Source organism: Homo sapiens, chromosome 5, assembly GCF_000001405.40.
Source record: "Homo sapiens chromosome 5, GRCh38.p14 Primary Assembly".
Taxonomy (NCBI): Eukaryota; Metazoa; Chordata; class Mammalia; order Primates; family Hominidae; genus Homo; species Homo sapiens.
Genome location: NC_000005.10, coordinates 71,827,732 through 71,851,448, shown reverse-complemented (window position 1 = coordinate 71,851,448; position 23,717 = coordinate 71,827,732). Strand labels below are relative to the sequence as shown.

At 40.6% G+C, this 23,717-nt stretch overlaps 1 annotated feature.

The window, feature by feature from the left end:
- Positions 293 to 587: a silencer, noted in NCBI's record as "tiled region #1479; HepG2 Repressive DNase unmatched - State 11:FaireW". NCBI's record gives its function as "represses a minimal TATA promoter and a strong SV40 promoter by Sharpr-MPRA in HepG2 cells {active_cell/tissue: HepG2}" and the evidence as "EXISTENCE:reporter gene assay evidence [ECO:0000049][PMID:27701403]".

Below are 23,717 nucleotides of genomic sequence, written 5' to 3'. Positions count from 1 at the left end.
TTGGGAGGATGTATGTGTCGAGGAATGTATCCATTTCTTCTAGATTTTCTAGTTTATTTGTGTAGAGGTGTTTGTAGTATTCTCTGATGGTAGTTTGTATTTCTGTGGGATCGGTGGTGATATCCCCTTTATCATTTTTTATTGTGTCTATTTGATTCTTCTCTCTTTTTTTCTTTATTAGTCTTGCTAGCGGTCTATCAATTTTGTTGATCCTTTCAAAAAACCAGCTCCTGGATTCATTGATTTTTTGAAGGGTTTTTTTGTGTCTCTATTTCCTTCAGTTCTGCTCTGATTTTAGTTATTTCTTGCCTTCTGCTAGCTTTTGAATGTGTTGAGATTTACACCCTCTCCCCCGGATTTTCAAGGGCCAGCGAGAGCTCACCGGATGCCGCCAGAACCGCGACGCTTTCCAAGGCACGGGCCCCTCTCTCGGGGCGAACCCATTCCAGGGCGCCCTGCCCTTCACAAAGAAAAGAGAACTCTCCCCGGGGCTCCCGCCGGCTTCTCCGGGATCGGTCACGTTACCGCACTGGAAGAAATTTCTAAGCAGCAAAGTGTTCAAGAGGTGACTTGGGTGCTATTAAAAGCATTCAGTTTTATGTATTCACAGAGATATGGTTTGAAATTGAAACTTATGTTTAAAAGGAAAGCAGAAAATAAAAGCTTGGAAAATTTGCAGCTTCATGATGTGATAGAAAAGAAAAACTCATTTTCTGAGGAGAAATTCAAGCTGGCTGCAGAAATTTACATAAGTAACGAGGAGCCAAATGTTATTCACTCAGACAAGGGGGAAAATGTCTCCAGGGCATGTCAGAAACCTCCATGGCAGTCCCTTCCATCACAGGCCTGGAGGCCTAGAAGGAAAAAAACTGTTTCCTGGGCCAAGTCCAGGGTCCCCCTGCTGTGTGCATCCTCAGGACTGCATCCCAGACACTCCAGCAATGGCTAAAAGGGGCCATGGTACAACTCAGGATGTTACTTCAGATGATGCAAGCCCCCAGCCTTGGCCACTTCCATGTGATGTTGACCCTGTGGGTCCACAGAAAACAAAAATCGAAGCTTGGAAACCTCTGCCTAGATGTCAGAGGATGTATGGAAACGCCTGGATGTCTAGGCAGAAGTCTGCTGCAAGTGTGGAGCCCTCATGGAGAACCTCTGCTATGGCAGTGCAAAAGGGAAATGTGGGATCAGAGTCCCCACACAGGGTCCCCACAGGGGCACTGCCTGGTGGAGCTGTGAGAAGAGGACTACCATTCTCCAGATCCCAGAATGGTAGATTCACTGACAGCTTGCACCATGTGCCTGGAAAAGCCACAGACACTCAAGCCAGCCATGAAAACAGCTGGGGTGGGGGGCTGTACACTGCAAAGCCACAGGGTTGGAGCTGCCCAAGGTCATGGTAGCCCACCTCTTGCATCAGTGTGACCTGGATGTGAGACATGGAGTCAAAGGAGATCATTTGGGAACTTTAAGGTTTAATGACTGCCCTATTGGATTTCAGACTTGCATGCGGCCTGTAGCCCCTTCATTTTGCCAATTTCTCCCACTTGGAATGGGTGTATTTACCCAATGCCTGCACCCCCATTGTATCTAGGAAGTAACTAACTTGCTCTTTATTTTACAGGCTCATAGGTAGAAGGAACTTGCCTTGTCTCAGATGAGACTTTGAACTTAAACTTTTGGGTTAATGCTGGAATGAGTTAAGACTTTGAGGGACTATTGGAAAGGCATGATTGTGTTTTGAAATATGAGGATATGAGATTTGAGAGGGGGAGGGGCAGAATGATATGGTCTGGCTCTGTGTCCCCACCCAAATCTCATCTTGAATTGTAACCTGAATTGTAATTCATGTTGGGGGAGGGACGTCATGGGAGATGACTGAATCATGGGGACAGTTCCCCTGTGCTGTTCTCATGATAGTGAGTGAGTTCTCACGAGATCTGATGGTTTTGTGAGAAGCTTTTCCCTCCTTCGCTCTGCACTTCTCTCATTCTTCTCCTTCCTGCTGCCATGTGAAGAATGATATGTTTGCTTCCCCTTCCACCATGATCATAAGTTTCCTGAGGCCTCCCCAGCACTACAGAACTGTGAGTTAGTTAACTCTTGCCTTTATAAATTACCCAGTCTCAGGTGTGTCTTTATTAGTAGTGGGAAAACAAACTAATACACCCACGTTAACTAGGAAAACAAATAAATTCTAAGTAAAAGGATACAATAGATATACTATGCTCAAAATCAAAATAAAACCGGAATGGCTATATCATCCTCAAAATTATTTAGAGCAGACAGTTCTATATGGAGTCTAATGCTCAAATACTTTTGAAGTAATTTTTGATCAATGTTACCATACTAGTGGGTCATTTAAAACCCAAAAGGAGAGAACTCCTTGTTTGGGCTGAGTCAAGTTGGGGAAGAAAAGTGACTTCCTCTCAAAGACCAAATGTAGGTGTTCTAGGCAGTCCCAGCTGAGGTCCCAGCCAACAGCCAGTGTGATCTGTTGCACAAGTGAGTGAGGAAGACTGGTTTCTTACTTTTGATTTGCCTCAGCTCCTATCAAATAGAGAACAAATTGGCTATTCCCACCAATCCTTGCTCAAATTGTAGATGTATAAGGTTATTGCTTTGAACCACTGAGTTCTGGAGTGATCCCTACAATAGATCACCATAACAACTTCCTCCACTCCATCCCCAACTGCTGCCAGCAATCATCACATTCAATATCCTGAGATGGCAATAGATGTCAGATAACACTATGCTAACAATTTATACTGTCTGGGCTTATAGTATGCACTCAAAAAATGATAAGAAATGCCAAGCATGTTGGTTCACACCTATAATATCAGGTCTTTGGGAGGCTGAGGGGGAAGATCACTTGAAGCCAGGAGTTCAAGACCAGCCTGGGCAACAAAGTGAGACTCCCATATATACTAAAAAGTATATATATATATAAGGTGGGTGCAGTGGTAGGCACCTGTAGTCCCAGCTACTCAGGAGGCTGAGGTGGGAAGATCACTTCAGCCCAGGAGTTCAAGACTGCAGTGAGCTAGAAATAAACTTTGGGAGGCCAAGGCAGGTGGATCACGAGGTCAAGAGATTGAGACCATCTTGGCCAACATGGTGAAACTCCATCTCTACTAAAAATACAAAAATTAGCTGGGTATGGTGGCATGTGCCTTTAGTCCCAGCTACTCGGGAGGCTGAGGCTGGAGAATCACTTGAACCTGGGAGGCAGAGGTTGCAGTGAGCTGAGATCAAGCCACTGCATTCTAGCCTGGTGACAGAGCGAGTCTCCACCTCAAAAGAAAAAAAGGTAAATATGCAAAAATGTTTGGCACAGAACCTAATACTTATAACTCTTTGATAAATGTCATTAAATTTTGTATTAGCACAATTATCATTGCAATTTAAGAGAAGTCAGGGTGAGCTTTATGGGCACATGACTTCTGCAGTCAATCAGAAAAGACCCAGTCCTGACATACTTCAATGTAATAAAAGCTATTTATGACAAACTCATAGCCAACATAATACCAAATAGGGAAAAGTTGAAAGCATTCCCTCTGAGAACTGTAACAAGACAAGGATGTCCACTCTCACCACTTCTATTCAACATAGTACTGGAAGTCCTAGCCAGAGCAATCAGACAAGAGAAAGAAATAAAGGGCATCAAAATCTGTAAAGAAGAAGTCAAACTGTCACTGTTTGCTGATGATATAATTGTATACCTAGAAAACCCTAAAGATGCCTCCAAAAAGCTCCTAGAACTGATAAATGAATTCAGTAAAGTATCCAGATACAAGATTAATGTACACAAATCAGTAGCTCTGCTATACACCAACAGTGACCAAGCTGAGAATCAAATCAAGAACTCAACCCCTTTTACAATAGCTGCAAAAAAAATAAAATACTTAGGAATATCCCTACCCAAGGAGGTAAAAGATCTCTACAAGGAAAACCACAAAACACTGCTGAAAGAAATCATAGGGGAAACAAACAAATGGAAACACATCCCATGCTCATGGATAAGTAGAGTCAACATTGTGAAAATGACCATACTGCCAAAAGCAATCTACAAATTCAATGCAATCTCCATCAAAATGCCATCATTGTTCTTCACAGAACTAAAAAAAAAAATTCTAAAATTCATGTGGAACCAAAAAAGAGCCTGGACACCCAAAGCAAGACTAAAAAAAAATAACAAATCTGGAGGCATCACACTGCCTGATTTCAAACTATACTGTAAGATCATAGTCACCAAAACAGCAGGGTACTGGCATAAAAATAGGCACATATACCAATGGAACTGGATAGAGAACCCAGAAATAAACCTAAATACTTACTGCCAACTTGATCTTCGACAAAGCAAACAAAAACATTAAGTGGGGAAAGGACACCCTATTCAACAAATGGTGCTGGGGTAATTGGCAAGCCACATGTACAAGAATGAAACCAGAACCTCATCTCTCACCTTATACAAAAATCAACTCAAGATGGATCAAGGACTTAAATCTAAGACCTGAAACTATAAAAATTCTAGAAGCTAACATCGGAAAAACTCTTCTAAACATTGGCTTAGGCAAGGATTTCATGACCAAGAACCCAAAAGCAAATGCAATAAAAACAAAGGTAAATACTTGGGACTTAATTAAACTAAAGAGCTTTTGCTTGGCAAAAGGAAGAGTCAGCAGAGTAAACAGACAACCCACAGAGTGGGAGAAAATCTTTCCAATTTATGTATCTGACAAAGCAGTAATATCCAGAATCTACAACAAACTCAAACAAATTAGCAAGAAAAAAAATCCCATCAAAAAGTGGGCTAAGGACATGAAAAGACAATTCTCAAAAGAAGATATACAAATGACTAACAAGCATATGAAAAAATGCTCGACATCACTAATGATCAGGGAAATGCAAATCAAAACCACAGTGCAATACCACCTTACTCCTGTAAGAATGGCCATAATCAAAAAATCAAAAAAATAATAGATATTGTCAGGGATACAGTGAAAAGGGAACACTTCTACACTGCTGTTGGGAATGTAAACTAGTACAACCACTATGGAAAACAGTATGGAGATTCCTTAAAGAACTACCATTCAATCCAGCAATCACACTACTAAGTATCCACCCAGAGGAAAATAAGTCATTAAACAAAAAAGATACTTGCACGAACATGTTTATAGCAGCACAATTCACAATTGCAAAAATGTGGAACCAACCCAAATGACCATGAATCAACAAGTGGATAAAGAAACTGTGATATATATATATATCATATGATATATATATATCATATGATATATATATATATCATATATATATATATATCATATGATATATATATACGTATATATGATGGAATAGTAATTAACCATAAAAAGGAATGAATTAATGGCATTTACACAACCTGGATAGGATTGGAGACTATTATTCTAAGTGAAGTAACTCAGGAATGGAAAACCAAACATCATATTTTCTCACTCATAGTGAGAGCTAAGTTATGAGGATGTAAAAGCCTAAGAATGACACAATGGACTTTGGGGACTCAGGGCAGGGAGAGGGTGAGGGATAAAAGACTACAAATGGGGTTCAGTGTATACTGCTCGGGTGATGGGTACACCAGAATCTTACAAATCACCACTAAATAACTTATTCATATTATCAAATACCACATGTTACCCAAAAACCTATGGAAATAAAAAAAAATTTAAAGAAAGAAAGGGCACAGTCTTTCATCTTATGCTTTTCTGTTACCATTTTGTTATTAATAATAATTTTCTCTTTAAAATTGTATTTTGTAAGTAAAATCCAATAGGATGATGGATTCTCATGAGCAGAGGACATACACACAACATGAATGTCTGCCACCATTCCTCACCACTGCTTTAACATATATCATTGTTGATGCCCTTTCAGCACAAACCTCTTGTGGACCTACAATGTGTAAGGGTTTGGTGAGACTCAAAAGGAATATAAGATGAACGTGTTATATCTACGACTGAGTAAGTGAAGGTGCTGACATCCCCAAGAAACCATGTTTTCATTTCAAATCAGATCTTGCTTCAAATGCCTCAAGAAAGCAATGGCATTCTAAGGAACATAAACCACCAAGAAACCCAATCGTACTTTTCCTGACCCAGGTTACTTCCCTGTATTAGTCAACCACTTACTCTGAAAATGATTGCATATAAGGAAAAGAAAGATAGGGCAATACACAGTTTCTTTTTCTTTCAGATCTTCCTTACTCACCAGTAAGCCGAAGGTAGATAGTGTTGGTAGAATGTGTACATATCAATAAGTGAAATAAAAACAGTTCAATTAGTTTTGTGTAGCATTTCCACTGTTCTGGTAAGAACAAAATACATATTCATGTATGAGCTATGAAATACAATTTGTATAATTTCGGGGACTATGCGTGACAGTTAAATGCTCATATATTTGCATTTAAAACTAGCATTGCACCATATAAAGATAAACTGTAAAATTCATGCTAACAATTTAAATTTTTAATCTTTCTTTACTTAGAATGACATTAAATAGCAATTTAAAAGAAATACCACCATGACAAGTCAAGGGAGAGGCCATGGAAGAAAGGAAAAAGCTTTTATATTTTAGTGCATACCTTTAACAACACTTATTTTCTATTTTTTAAGAAAAGACAAAAGGTCCTGCATTTTTTTTGCACTAGACCCCACAAATTATGTAGCTGGTCTTGAGAGATGAAGTCTATTCTGCCACAATGCAATAACTGCAATAATTATAATTCTTAAGAAATCACACATAATAAAAGATGTATTATAAAAATAGTTGTGTCATTGGAAATAAGAGGCTGTAAACTAAAGAACTTCAGAATCATCGAAGACATTTTTCTATAAAATTTTCACTGATAGAGGGAGGATTTTTAGCTATAAATATATGGCTACAACACCTAACATCACCTAGTAAATCCAGCACATGAATAAATCTACATTTTGCGCAAGAGTAATGGCCTTTATTTCCTATTGCCACCAATATTATCAGTAGTAAGAGACTCTTTCATGCTCTTTTCAGCTTTTTCATCTATTACCATGTTAAGCAAAGCAAGAAGCCATTCCAACAAAGCAACTGTTTCCTCCATGGCTTGTTTCCTTTCTCTGTGGGTACTACATCCTTATTGCTATTTATTCCCTATCATGATAGCTTTATCATCTATCTGTCTGTGTAATGCAAATCATATTCTTAAAATAACATACCACTTACATCTACTTCATATCATGAGACACTGAAGAGAAATGTCTATAATTATGATACTTCAACATCTCGACAGACTGAAAAGTAAGGAAACAGCAAAAACTGAGAACCTAGAAATCAAGGTGCTATCTGGAAAACAGCAACCCAAAAATTCAAAGAAACTTTAAACTGGTTCCCTCATGTTACAGCTAGAAGGTAACTTGTCAAATCAAATCAATTCTTCTCATATTACAGCTGTAGAACTTGAAGGCTGGAGACCTTTAACAACTTGTACAGGTACTGAAGTCACGGGGGCAGAGTTTAGATACATATATAAATATCTTCACTCCTGATTGAGAACCCCTCTACCATACCCCAGTGCAATATTTATGTTTGCAAAAAGAATTCCTTCGGTTAACCTCTCCAAAGGAATGCCCAAGTCACTGAAAGGAAAATTCTGGCGTCTCTGTCTAATTAAATTTAATTTTAAATGAAGCAGATATTTTCTTTGGAAGAAGTTAAAACATTTGAACTACCCTTAAAGAAGAATTTTTACTTTTTACCTTAAAAAAAGATTTTAAGGACTTTGGGTCTTTGGTCAGCACTTTGGCAATGTAAACTAACCTCCATTTTGAGTTTCTTAAAATTAATAAATTGTACCAGGATCAGCAAGTGTCTTTGTTTTGTGCCCTCTTGGTACCTCAAATTAGTTGATGAGGCAGCCATAAACCCCAACACAGGCACATAGGTTCAATCCTTAGGATGGAAAATTGCTATTTTCTGAGTCAAATTGAATAATGATCATTTGCAGTGTGGCTAGCCATGTGCCAAACACTATCCAAGCTCTATGATTACACACTGACAGCTGAAAGAGAAGACTCCAGCCCTTGCGATCATAACTAAGGAGGGAGGATAAGCACTTGAACATCCAAGCATGATATAATGCGGTGCCACACCCTCTCCATAAGCTGAGTGCTGTAGACCACTCGACTTGAAGGATACTTGCAATCTGCTGGTATGCAATGGTGAGAAGGGGAAAAAAGTTTGTAGTCATCATTTTAAGTGTGACTGCTTCTTATACTCCTTGGAGGAATAATAGCATGTTTATTTATTGAGCTTATTTATCTAGCCTCTGGTCATCTCCATGTCAGTGAGTGTGTGTCAAAGATCAGAGATACAGAGCACTGAGGAAAAAGAAGGAAAGGAAAGAAAAACAAGAATCCTGCTAAGTCAATTTAGTGAGAATCCCAAAACCTCTATATGTCATCACCCTGGCCCACCTTCAACATGAACCTTAAGGCAATTTAGCAAGAATCTCCTCATCCTTAGTCATTTTCCATCTATCGACCCCGTCTCTGCTCATTGGCTGTAAATCCTCATCTATCCTTGCAGTATTCAGAGTTGAGCCTGATCAGTCTTCCCTGTTGCAATAGTCTTGACACCTATTGCAGTGGACCTGAGTAAAGTCTTCCTCACCCTTTTAACAAGTGTCAGAATATTTTTTCGTTATACTCTTTCAAAATCATCAACTCCTGGTTATTCTTTTACTTTTACCAAGATTTAGAGTGGTGATTTTTCAAGCATGTAATACAAAACACATCTTGATTAATTATGAAATGAGAGGTAAATAATTTTAATCAAGTAATTCCTAAAGTATTGAACTTTGTGAATGATTTACCTTAAAAATTGAATTAGAGTGGATTCAAAGTTATCCCTGTAATTGCACCCCCTTGGATTGTAACATCCTCTCTTGAGTGAGAGAAAAAGAGACAGTTATAACTGATGCTTAGGAAAATGTTACATATCCTTTAGTCAATCTTAGGTCTATCATAGCCCAGAAAGCACTCCAGTATCAAAGTACTGTTAATCAAATGATTATAAACTTCTTTCCATGAAACATATACACACATATGCACACATAAAAACTATACGTTAGAACTATGCAGTAGAAGCAAACATTGCTAGTGATCACTAATATCTGGTTCTCCTCTTCCTGGTCCCCAGCACATAGGAAGAAAACATTATTCGGCCTCCTTGTAATTAAGTGGGTCACATGACTAGGTCTTACCAATGAAATGAGGGTGGACGAGATATATGTCACTTCCCACCTGGGGAAATGAAGTCAGATTCTCCTGTGTCTCTCCTCTCTTATGGACAGCCAAGGAGGCCCTGTGTTACCAGTGATGCAAGTACAAGTTAGTAAAGCCTCTGTTAGCCTGATCCCCCAAGCGACTGTATAGGGCAGAAATCCCCATGACCCTTATTACATGTGTACTGTGAGTGAGAAATAAACACTTGCTGCATTAATTACTGGTATTTCAGACTTAATATGTTATCACAATATAACCTGGCATTAAACTGACTAATTTTTCCTAAAGCATTGGCAGCAAGTAGGATGAGGTTGTACAAATCAAGCTAAGCCCATGATGGAATACCATGTATATGTCACCTATTGTACTGGGCAGGCCAAGCCTCAGAATGGTTTTCATGTTAAAATTCTTTTAAACATGTTTCCTTCTGTGCATATATCCCTATCCTGCTAACCCAAGAGCCTGGTGACCCTGGACCCAGCTAATTGGATCAAGGACAGGCACTTGCCCTAAAGATAGCCAACATACAGAGCCTGCCCATCGGTTTCTCTTTCTCAGGAATTCAGACTGGAAATATGGGTGGAGACAACATGTAGAGAGACAAAATGATACCTGGAGAAGCAAAGGAAGAGAAAAGACCTGAGCTTCGTTAGTTATGGGGCTCTAGAGTGGGGACCACAAACATCTTCTCCTGAGGGGCTAACAAGATTACCAGCTGCTTGGATTGCCTTTTGTATTAGTTTGGCAGGGTTCCCATAACAAAGTAGCACAAACTGGGTGGCTTAAACAACACAAGTGTATTGTCTCATACTTTTGTAGGCTGGAAGTCCAAGATCAAGGTGTCAGCAGGGTTGGTTCCTTCCAAGGGCTGTGAGGAAGAATCTGCACCATGCCTCTCACCTACCTTCTGGTGGGTTGCTGGCAATCTTTGCTGTTCCTTTGCCAACAATAGCCAACAGGAAGAAGCAACCCAAATATTCACTGACAGATGAATGGATAAACAACATATAGTACATACAGATGATGGAACATTATTCATCCTTAAAAAGAAAGGAAAATCTGATACATGCTACAACATAGATGAGCCTTGAGGAGGTTATGCTAAGTGAAATAAGACAGTCGCAAAAAGACAGATACTATATGATTTCACTTATATGCCGTATCTAAGGTAATCAAATTCATGGAAACAGAATGTAGAATGATGGTTGCCAGGAACTGAGGGGAGGGGGAATGGGAAGCTGTTGTTTAATGGATATAGATGAAGAAAGTCTGGAGATTGGGTGCACAAAAATGTGACTATACCTGTCACTACTGACTTGAACACTTAAAAATGGTTAAGGTGGTAAGTTTTACATTACATTTGTTAACCACAATTAGAACTTTTAAAATTATTTTTAAAGTATTAAATAGCACCTGAAATGAATGTATTGTTACTCTTACCAACTAGGAAATATAACTTAAAGACTAATTTTGGCAATTTTATAAAGATACTCACACCAGATAAGAACACCACTTAATTTTTTGATACCACGTGCTCTGCTTCTCCCTGACCCATTTATTCCTTCACTCTGATCCCGAGATCTGCCATATACCACAAGTGCCTAACTACAGTGGCTTCCTGAACCCTTGAAATCTTATGCAAAATAATATATACTATAAATTGTTCTGATGAGACGTCCATAAAAGTCATCAAATGACTGATTTGATCAAATAACAAATGTCAAGTAACAGATTCAAAAAGAGCAAATAACGTCTCCAAAGTCTCATAGCTCATAGAGGGTGACAGAACTGGAATTGGAACCCAAGCTTGTCTTTGTCCAAACCCAAAACATTGGGTCACCTCTACAGCAAGGCAGAGGCATTAACTATTTTTGTATAATAGAGAGAACATAATGAAAAAAGAACCCAAAGCCACAGATTAGACCTCATAAAATTGTTGTGAGGACTAAATAAAGATGTTGGTAAAATGCATGGGACATTGTAGGTGTCCCCTTCTCTCCCCATACTACCCAGCAAGATTACAGCCTGACACCACAGTGGAAATTAGTTTAAATTGCTGCCCTTCCCAGCAGTATCTGCATTTTAAGTAAAAGACACAAAATTGAGGGCACAAATTCAGTTGGAAGATAATGTGGGACCCTGTCTAGACTCTCAGATCATGGGAGGAGGCCATATTCCACTCTTCCTACTCAAAAATGCAGCCAAGCTCAGCATCGCCATCCTCCTTGAACTTCTCCTCAGGTTTTGCTTAGGGAAGGAATTCTTGGCTCTCATGTCCTGGGGGACAATAGGCTGACTATCACTGGCTTCAGGGTCAACTCATGCCCCTTAACAAGCTCCTCGCTGGGGTGAGGCCTGGGCCTGCATCTGCTCTGAGGTCTGTTTCCGCAAGCCTGCTTAGGGAGTGTCATTTAAAATCTGTCCATCTCCAAGGACAGCATCTTGTCACATGACAGCTGAGCCTGGGGGAGCAGGATGTTACAGACAGAAGTGTCCTTTCTAATGACATATGCTGAGCAGCAGGAAGAGCCTGCCAGGGAAGAGGCCATGGAAGTGAGCAGTGACTAACACAGCAGCCTGGAGAGCGCAAGCCTGGGCACCCTGCTGCACGAAGGAACAGCCTCGGATGGGTGTTGAAGAGGAGCTGCAGAGAGCAATTTAATTGCATCAACTCAGGCCTTGTTTCCCCAAGTGGCTTATTCTATAATTTGTTCAAACTTTTTTTGCAAAAGGAAAGTAATTCTGCATTCAGGAAGCACTATTGATCCTGGCTAATTTGGTCTATAAGGAACAATTTAAACAGACAGTCAGGTTGTCATGGTAACATGCCTGTTTTATTTATAGTAACAAGTTCAAGGTATGGGATATGAGACTCAGTGCCTCTTATTGCTGTGATTTTCGAGCTGTGTTCTAAAGAGATGAGAGTGTGAGGGAAATACTCCAAAGCTATGAGATAGGGGTGGGGTTCTGGCTTCCACCTCCATTACAACTAGAGCAGCCTTGCTTTCATCTCTTTTACATTTAGCATTCTGCTGCTTTATAAATAAATAAATAAATGAAAAACAGAGAGCTGTCTAGGAAGAGGAAGGGAAGAGGAGTAGGGAGGAAGAAAAAGCCACAGCTGCTAAGGTTGATAGAAGAAAAGCTGCAATTGTCATCCTCAGCTCTCTGTGCCTAGACTTGGACTTGACTACATGCTACACTCATGCCTGTGTGGTACGGATAAGAGTTTGAGCTCTTCCCTTTGTTGTTTCTCTCTGTGTGTCCTATCTGACATTATGACCCCAGGGAAGGTGAAGGTGAATATTAGCACAGGAAGTTAGGAGAATGTAGCATAAGGGAGGTCTCTGACAGGCTTGAAGAAAGGGAAAGCCCGCCCCGTCTGCCACCTCTGAGGGGTAGGGAAAGGAAAAGTGGAAGGCAAAGACAAAGATTAGACACAGGAACACCTCTGGGAACAAAACCCAGGAGACAGGGGTGGCGGCAGTCTTGGATGGGTTTTGGAAAGGGGGCTTTGGTTACTACTGTCTGTCTAGAACTCTATGGGAGAACACCTAGCAGGTTTCCAAAGACAGCTGGAGTGGCGGTAGCAGAGTAAAACAGGAGGGGTGGAGGAGACAGGAAAAGAGCCGGAGCCTGCCTCCAGAGCAGCTTCATCTCCCAAATCCCTATCTCATGCGTCAGAGAAGGGACATAGAGGTCATTCCCTGTCCTGGAGGGTAGCTGCTGATGATAGCTGTGGGTTGAATTATGCCCCTTAAAATGATATGTTCAAATCCTAAACACTAGTATCTGTAAATGTGACCTTATTTGGAACTAAGATTTTGAAGATATAATCACATTAAAATGAAGCCATACTGAATTAGGGTGGGCCCTAATCTAATGATTGGTGTCATAAGAAAAGGGAAATTTAGACACAGACACAGGAGAATTCCAAGTGCAGACAGAGGCAGAGATTGAAATGATGCATCTACAAGCCAAGGAATACCAAAGATTGCCAGCAAGCACCAGGAGCTAGAAGAGGCAAGGAAGGATCCTCCCCTAGAGCCTTCAGAGGGAGCATGGCCCTGACCTTGATTTCAGAATTTTAGCTTGCAGAACTGTGAGACAATAAATGCCTATTCTTTTAAGCTACCAGTGTATATTCATTTGTTACAGTAGTCCTAGAAAACTAATATACCAACACACACACACACACACACACACAAATATAGACCCTACTCTCCTAGTGAGCCACTATTATAGATAGAAGCATGTTTGGGAACACAGGTGGGGGATGAAAAGATTGGGAGATGAACTACTCTATTGAGTGGGGTTCCCCTACACTTAGAAGAAAGATACAATTGTATCAACATAGAAGTATAGGATAAGAACCCTCCTCTAAAGCCATAGCCCACATGCATACCTGAAATGTAATCCTAGTTTCACCACATGTGGAAAGCAGGTGATCTCTTTAGCACTGGTAGTTGCTGAAGGAGCTCTACATCTCTAGCACAAATTGGCACACAAAGTACTTTTCATTGATTTACTTGGTGTACAGCTATGCTGATTTTAAAGCAGCTAGAAAATCCATTTCTAAAATAGAAGGGCTGTCTTCTAAAAGCATATCTAGTTACCAAGTTCATAATGTTCTTGGATCAAAATGGTTTGGAGAGGGGAAAGGAACCTGCCTCTATTTTCCCATCTTTCCCTCAAGGCATAGATCTGTGAGTTATTTTGGCCTACTCCTCAGGCAGCTCCCACCCAGAACATTTCAGCATATCATTTGCTTCAAGGGTCATCCTTTTCTTTGCCAGGTTTCCCAGAATTAAACAGAAAAAGCCTGGGAGTGGGCAAGTTGGCAAAAGGAAGAGAGGCCTGTTTGGCTGTGACATGTGGGTGGAGGTAACAGATAAAATGATGCCACAAGTCTACAAATACTGTGAGGTTTTAATCCCTAGCTCCAAAGAAACACATTGTCATGGTCTGGTATCAAAGAAACTATTCTCTGCATTTCCCTGGGCAGTATTTCTCCAATAGAGGGAATCTTAGAAATTACAAAACACAGATAAGGAGCAACCACAATTCTAGTCTTAAGTAGTCTGAACGAGCACCCGTTTTATTGGCTATTAGGGAAGGTGACCAGGAAATATAATTGAACATTGTGCTTTGGCCTGGTCTGAAAAGCAGACTTGCCTTGAGATAGGAGACTCAAGCTACTGACCCCTGGGATTCCTTTCCACCTGACTGTGATGTGTGTTGAGTAATACTAGTGGTTTCTTCTTTGTCTTTAGCAACAGAGACGCTTGCACACTTGCTAAGACCGCCTCCTAAGTCACATGGCTAGTTATATTCAGAAGCATTCCATGGGCAGAAAATTGTAATGCCTTTTCCAATTACGTGAAACTTCATGTCAAAACACTGTCAGTGATGGGGCTTTCAGTTGCAGAATTTTCCTACTAAAACCTTGCAAGGCTAAACATATGCTTGCTTTTTTCCATTCTGACCTGTCTCTGGAGGGCTGGGAGAAAAAGGCAGCCCAACAATGAGCTTTATGGCACTGGGTTGTTCTGCCTTAAGCCAAACTCTCAGATACTATGGCTTCAGGGCTCATCTTTGCATGACGTTTATCTAGGTTTAAATATCCACATTTCCTGTTTGACACCAGCTTAGGAAAATGCAGAGGCAATAATCAGGCAGTAACTGCAGGTTTGCAGGTTTTGCCCAGAGGTGATTTCTTTTCCATCATCAAGATTCATCACCATCAAGATGGTAGGTTTCTTCATTAATAACCATGACAGTGACCAGTCCTTCTCATTTATCAACTTATTGCTCATCCCAAAATGTCAAGTAATCTAGTAGGATTAGGTAGCTGTATGCAATGTCTCCTATCTGAGCCCCCTTCTGGACAATCTAGGAGACAACCTGGCTTTTTCTTGCATAAAATTGAATAATCATTAAAGAATCTTCACAGAACTATGGAATCATGGGGCTCAGAGGGATGCCAAGATGTTAGTCAATTCATTCTCCCCAATTCTAGACAGAAGTGCATGCAAGCCATTTGGGATAGTAGTCACACCTAATCCATATGCACGACTATGGAGATTACATATATATACATAAACATGTAAATACATATGTAAATATCAATGGTATATAAAACTAAAGGAAAAGTGCCTCATACTGCGTTAAGTACTTTACTTACATAATAACTACTCTATGAAGTATTATTATTATTCCCAACTAGTAGAAGTGTAAATCAAGGTTAAGAGAGGTTCCAAAAACTCATCCAAACCAGTGGCAGCAGTAAGACTCAAATACAGGCATTACTGCTATCCCAGAGGGTCCTTGTAACTAAAAGAATTATGTTCTTATTGTTGTTGTGTTTCTTCTTTTCACATGAATCCATGCCATCTTTATTTCAATACCATTTAGCAAATATTTTGAGTGTCTAAAAGCCGCACGTTCTTTTCAAAAAAATTTTTTTTTTTTTTTTTTTTTTGAGATGGAGTCTCGCTCTGTTGCTCAGTCTGGAGTGCAGTGGCGCGATCTCGGCTCACTGCAAGCTCCGCCTCCCGGGTTCATGCCATTCTCCTGCCTCAGCCTCCCGAGTAGCTGGGACTACAGGCACCCGCCACCACGCCCGGCTAATTTTTTGTATTTTTAGTAGAGATGGGGTTTCACCATGTTAGCCAGGATGGTCTCGATCTCCTGACCTCATGATCTGCCCCCCTCGGCCTCCTAAAGTGCTAGGATTACAGACGTGAGCCACGGCGCCCAGCCTTTCTCATCATTTTTAAAATCAGTTTGAGTCTACAAACTCTCTGCAGAATCCTTGGTGTTTCCTAACCTTGGTGTTTCCTAGTTTAATTTTAATGCCTCCATTGCAGTGCAAGCCCACTTTCCCATATTTTGTCTTATGGGAAATCATAACAAATGCTTTCTATTTTTTTACGTGGTTGAAGATCGCTGACCATGTGTGCGCATGCATGCGCACGTGTGTGTGTGTATTCCTAACTACAAAAAGGAGGATGATTTTTCCATCAGTAATTTGGAAGAGACCTGCCCTTGGCAGATAATCTCCAACTTCTTTACATATTCAGATTGTTTCAGTTGTGTTGTGAAGTGTCACAGTTAAAATGGAGAACTTACACATGACATTTATACTACCACCATCACCCCAGTTAATCCTCTTTTGAGATTCATGAAGTACCAAGGACACACTTGTCTTGTGAATAAACAGTTTCTGTTCCTTGCGGCCTACAATCCATGGCCTGGATGGATCAAAGTGGAAAAATTTAACATAACATCCAAGCTTTGAGTAACGAGAACTTAAAGGAACCTCAGAGAAACTATTTGTCTCTAAAAAAGTCTTCCAGAAATCAGCAGAATTAACTTTATCAGAAGTAGCAGCTAATCTGATGTTGATGACAGATTCATTATTTCAAAACACAGGATGCATTTATGAACTTCCTTATTTTAAAGTTAGATTCAAAGGGGAAAACATTGCCTTTAATGACTCTGTTTTTTTTAATTGACTCATAAAAATTGTATATATTTACAGTGCACAATGTAATATTTTGATATATGCATATATTGTGAAATTATTAAATTGAGCCAATTAATGTACCAATCATGTCACATACTTATTTTTTGTGGTGCAAAAAGAATTCAAATATATAATGCATTATAATTGTTATTAAAATTTAGCAATTTTTAAATATACATTATATTAACTATAGTCACCATGCTGTACAATAGGTTTTCAGAACTTATTCATCCTGAAATGACTCTGATCTTTAAAATGCATTTAAATTGTTTGTTTAATTACCTATTTCTAGAGAGGTCTCTGGAGGACTAGCTAATTAAATGTTTACAATATCTAACAGCGCTGCATCATTAGCAGTAGCTCTCCACTAAGTACCATCACCAGTTCCAATTCTCCTTCCACGGACTAACATATCATGGAAGGATTCACAGCCCAAGAGTGTTTCACATTTCAAACACTCATCCTAAGACAGTAGGATGTTTTCCAGGTGTCACAGCACTAATATTGGCCCTTTGGAACACATGGAAGCAGAAACACAGCTATTCTCTATAAACAAGAGACCAGGGCTACAGGAGAATTTTTATGTTTTTTTTTTTTTGAGACAGAGTCTCGCTCTGTCTCCCAGGCTGGAGTGCAGTGGCACAATCTTGGCTCACTGCAACCTCCCCTTCCCGGGTTCAAGTGATTCTCCTGCCCCAGCCTCCTGAGTAGCTGGGATTACAGGCACGTGCCACCATGCCTGGCTAATTTTTGTATTTTTAGTGGAGATGGGGTTTCACCGTGCTGGTCAGGCTGGTCTCAAACTCCTGACCTCATGATCTGCCCACCTCGGCCTCCCAGAGAATTGTTATCTTTAGGGAACCAGATGAACTATATTGTGTTCAGCCAGGTTCTTAAAGGCGTTTTCACTACCATCACAGCCAGAACTCTGACCATTGTGTATCATGGTATTTTTTCCCAAGCTGAGTGAACACCATTACCTGGACAGCTGACAATGCACCAGAAGTTACAGGCCTAGGAGTATGCATGTTTTTGAAGTTCCTCTAAAAATATGATGATCACCCAGGCTTGGGAACCATTGGTCAATTGTGCTCTAGACTGTGCAGTCCCTAAACAGAACAGAAACCTAGGTCAAGGAAGGCACAGGGATGAGCAATGTTGTTGCAAGGAATAGGGAAGAACCAGAAAAAGAAGAGAGGAGAGGGTGGGCAGATGGGAGAAAGAGGGGGCTGAAAGTGAAGGGCAGAAAGCCAACACTGGCCCAGGTCTCTACTCTGTTTAGGAACAGCTCTACCTAAGAGCAGGCCAGGGTAAGGAATGAGTCCATCCACGTGGATTGGAGGCATTGTAATACAGTAGTGAAGAGCATACCCTCTGGAGTCAGACTGCCTGGCTGGGAATCCTGCCTCTGCCTCTTATAAGCTGTGGGACATTGGGCAAGTTATGTAACCTCTCCAGGCCCCAGTTTTCTTATTTATAAAACGGAGGTATTAAAAGTAGTGGCAAAACTGCACTCACTTTTGCACCGACCTAATACTATAGTAGCTACCTCATAGGGATGTTAAAAGTATTATAAGAGCTTTAAGTGCTTAACATAGTCCCTGAATCCTAGTACAGTCATGAGTCTCTTGCATTATTCGGTGATTTTGTCATTGTGCAAACATCAGAGTGTACTTACACAAACCTAGGGAGTATAGCCTACTACACACCTAGGCTATATGCTACAGCCTACTGCTCCTAGGCTACAAACTTGTACAGCACATTATTGCACTATACTAGGCAATTATAAGACAATGGTAAGTATTTGTGTATCTACACAGATCTAAACATAAAAAGGTACCATAAACATATGGTATTATAATCTTATGGGACCATCATCATATATGTCGTCTATTGTTGACCAAAACTTTGTTATGCAAAGCATGACTGTACTGTTCTCTCTGCCCATTGTGACCCAGCTGTTGAGATTAAGTTGTAAGTGTATAAAACTACATGTTGTTGAAGAGGAGGAACTTTTCCTCTACTCTGTTGGGTTTAGTCAGTGGGGGCTTGTGAATTTGACTGACACAAGACAAACTAATAGTAGAAAAGAAATATAAATGTATTAACTTTTTAAAATTTTACATTCCTGGGAATTCACAGAAAAGAAGTGAAACTCAAAGAAGTGGTTAGACTAGGGAGCTTATATATCCTTCTTTTTTTTTTTTTTTGAGACGGAGTCTTGCTCTGTCACCCAGGCTGGAGTGCAGTGGCGAGATCTCGGCTCGCTGCAAGCTCCGCCTCCTGGGTTCACGCCATTCTCCTGCCTCAGCCTCCCGAGTAGGTGGGACTATAGGCGCCTGCCACCATGCCTGGCTAATTTTTTGTATTTTTAGTAGAGACGGGGTTTCACCGTATTAGCCAGGATGGTCTCGATCTCCTGACCTCGTGATCTGCCCGCCTCAGCCTCCCAAAGTGCTGGGATTACAGGCTTGAGCCACTGCGCCCGGCCTATATATCCTTCTTAACGAAGGAAAGAGGGTTTGGGCCTCAGGAAAAATAAATTAACTGAAAGTGACTAGGAAATACATGAGAGAACTAATGAAAAATAAGGGTTATTTTAGTAAGGTTTGTTTATGCAGACTTGGTGCCGGCTCTCCATCACCAGCGATAACAGTCGTGTTCCTCATCCTGGTTTAGGAGAGGGGAACTTATACCACCTTCACCAGGGGAAACTCATGCCCTGCTTTTAGACAGATAAAGGGAGAGCAGAGACCTCTTCCTGTATATGTTGATCTTTAACTGCCTTCAGCTCAAAATAATCCTTAAGCTAAAGAGGTGCGTTTTGAGGTGGCATATCCTGATCTCCTTCAACATAAAGACTAGCTAATGTATGTTGATGGTGAAACCGATGGCCTAGATTTCACAAGCGCCTCACACTGACCCACGGGGCCATCTGTTCACCAGTATGTGAAGCAGGTCATAATGAAGGAAAAAGGTTTGAAAACTACAGTGATCTAGGGGAACTTAGTACAACAACTTTTCAGGAAACTTTTTGGCATGTATATCGCATGAGTGGAGGCTATGGGTAGTAGGAGTTGAGGGAGGTCAGCAGCTGCCTGTAACTGACTGACCACTGGTGTAGTGGGAGGACCACTCAACTGGGTGGGATGATGGAATGGTCCACCTTTTATAGGCATTGCACTTTTCTGAGCTTCACTTCCCTCACCCATCACATAAGCATCCTATTAGGTTAGTGCAAAAGTAATTGCGGTTTTTGCCATTACTTTTCATGTCAAAACCGCAAATACTTTTGCACCAATCTAATAATACCTTCCACAGAGCACTGTGAGGGTTAAATAAAGTAGTGCCAGCGGAAAGAAAACTGAGAAACATAGGATCATTCTTACAGTTTCCTCACTGCATTCTTTTACCCAAATCACTTTTCAGGGATTCCTGAAACATGAATTTAAAGATTACCAATAAGTAGGCTGTAAATCTCCAGTGCTTAGTAACTAACGCCAAGAGTAACTGGGAAAGATTTGCTTTATTTGTTTTTGTGTTTTGGAATTTTATTTATGTGTTTTGCTTTGCTTTGTTTTTAGGAAGGCCAGGAAGAAGAAGGGAGAGGAAATATTTACAGACAGCAAATAGGCTTTTCCTGAGAAATCTATGGTGACCAGGGAAGCAGCTAGACAAATGCCCAAGTTTCATTTCTGTCTCATTCCTCCTGGGTTTAGTCCCCAGGGAGGAGTTTGGGACTCAGGCCAACCCAAGCCACAAGCCAGGCTCACTCAGGACTATTTATAGAGCTGGGTTGTTGGGTAGCTCTCTTTCTACATGAATATTTCCAGCTCTTTCTGATTCAAAACAGCTCTTGACAGCCCTGGCCCATAACAGTGTATGTTTAAGTGCTTTTACATATCAATATCCTGGCTCTCACTGGATGCATAAATTAAAACAATGTTAGTCTTTCTGGTTTATTCCATTGAGTAAAATAAATTAGTCAGTAGTAACCATGCATTGTTCTCCTTTGTATTATAAGGAGAAATATTTAGCTTTGTTGTCACTGACTTAGCCTTTTCCATCTCCTAGAAAGATAAAAACCCATCTGTAACAAAGGCTTCAACTGTACTTGTTTTAAGCATGTTCTAAGATTCCTCCTCTCCCTTAAAAAGGATTCTGAGATTACAGTGTCTCCTCTCTCCAATTTAGACGGCATTATGAATTATGGATATACCATCCGCTGAGGCCACCAGTCACCGGTATTGAACAGTTTTGATGAAATACTGTGACCAGCTTAAATTGTTTTTCAGAGACTCAAATAGACTATTGATAAAACAGCTCCAGCTGCCAGACCCACCCCCTGGTAATGAGTGTGTCTTTATTTGGTGAGAAAGTGTGGGCTTGCTAGGCTAGCCTTGAATTGTCACCAAAAGTGAAGAAGGGAATGGAGATAGAGACCTCATGGGACTAAGGATGAGAGGCCCTTAAATCCTCTTTTTGGGGGCTTATCTTGCACAAGGATGAATTGACTGGGGAAAGAGCAGCACTTATTCTCAGTGTTTTCCTTCTGGCTATGTGACATAAAAATCTACACTAATATCAATTTTCATGGGTAACTAGTGACCCAAGTGACACCAAAATGAATTTCTTAGTAGTAAAAATGTATCATATTGAAAAACAACTTTTCAGAAGAGTGGCCTAGAACCTCACAGGCTTTAAACATCTATTTGTTATAGTATAAGGTGCTGCCACAATATCAGGCCGTACTACATACTTGCTATTCTATTTTTCTAAATTTGTATGTAAACTTGAAACCCAAAACCTGAGAATAGAGGTCAACCGAGTCATGGAGTCCCAAGATTTCCTTCATATCTTCCTCATATTTTTTCTTTTCATATTTGTTTTCCTTTTCAAATTACAAAACTGATAAATGTCGTGCAGAAAATTTGGAAAACACTATAATCCACACTCAGAGGTAACTATTATTAACGGATACGGTTTGGATCTGTGACCCCATCCAAATCTCATGTTGAAATATAATCTCCTTTGCTGGAAGTGGGCCTGGTGGGAGGTGATTTGATCATGGAGTGGTTCTCTCATAAATGGTTTAGTACCATCCCCTTGGTGCTGTTCTTGTGATAGTGAGTCCTCATGAGATCTGGTTGTTGAAGTGTGTGGCACCTCCCCCATCTCTCTTCCTCCTTCTCGGGCCATGTGAAGTACCTTGTTCCCCTTTCGCCTTCTGCCATGATTGGAAACTTCCTGAGGCCTCCCCAGAAACGGAAGCCACCAAGCTTCCTGTACAGCCTGCAGAATCATGAGCCAATTAAACCTCTTTTCTTTATAAATTACCCAGTCTTAGGTATTTCCTTACAGTAATGTGAGAACAGACTAATACGTTAACATCGTATGTCCTTCTAGTCTTTTTTCTTTGCCCATATATGCAGATATACTGTTATACATATATGCATATTTTTTTACAAAACTGATGACATACTCTATATTTTATTTTATTTTATATATAACTTTGTCACTTAGTAAATTATTTTGTAAACATTTTTCTAAGGTGGTACATTTGATTTTTACTGGCTATATAGTAGTCCATCACATGGGTGGACCATAACTTACTTAACAAATCCACTATATCAATATGTTAGGTGGTGTCATTATTATAAAAATTCTATGATGAACATCCTTTTGCGTATATATTTGGCCATAACTCTGCTAATTTCTTTAGGATGAGTTCCATAAGGCATAATTTAAGGCTTTAGTCATAGTATCATCAGGAAATGATGCAGCAGCTAACCCTCCCTCAACTATGTATTAAAGTGCCTGTTTTGCCAACATCCCCATCATGGCTGGATATTGTAATTTTTAAATGATAACTTGTCAGTTTGATACCAAAAAGTAAAAATGGAAATAATATCTCATTGCTTTCACTTTCACTTTTTGTTTCTTAAAGACTCTATTGTATATACTATTTATTAATATTTTTTCTTTTGTGACTAGTTCATTTGTATTATATGCCATTTTTATACTGATCTGTTTATATATTTTTCACAGATTTGCAGGAGCTCTTCATTAAAAAAATCAGAATGACATCAGCAAGATGGCTGAATAGAGACAGTTGGCAATCATCTCTGCCAAGAAAAAGGACCAAGGCAATGAATAAACAGCTAAGGTATGACTGGAGTGTAGAAGAGACAGCACTGGAGTGCAGTGGGAGTGGAGGCACCTCCATGCAGCCCCATCTCTTTCACCAGAACAAGTTGGCCTGGAGACAGGAGGTAGTTCTCCTTGCAGGGAAATGGTAAGCAGAAGAATGCCACCAGCACCCGTTGCCACTGAAAACACTTACAGTTCTTACAACAGGAGAAACACACAGTCCTCACAAGCCCTGAGCCCATTTTGGAGAGCTGCCAGGAATTCACACAGCTACAGTGTTCTGGATTAGGAGCACAAGGTGTGCACTCTCCATACCCCATCCAGCCGCTGTGAGCCAAGCTATAGCAACATGGTGCCATGTTGAGACCAGAGCCACCTCTGGAGTGTGCCTTCCCTGAGGGCCAGTAGCTACTGTACCTGTCCAACACTGGGGCTCCATCTTCATTGCATCAAGCCCACATGGGTGGCTGAACGCCACAACCCCAGCCTGAGCCGATCATCAGCTGAGACTCTGGTCCTACACACCAGGGAACAAACCCATACACATACACTTCCAGCTAGAGGAACAGTCTGCCAGTCCCACCCAGGACAAACCCACACTTGAGCTAGCCGAACTACTGTGTGTCCTCCCCTGAGTGGGAGAAGTCCCTGAGTTACCAAGAAGCTGATATGCCCCCAAAGCCAGTGGTGTAGTTTCATGCTTGTGCTCAGGGCCTGAGAAACAGCCCAGTGGCATCCACCTG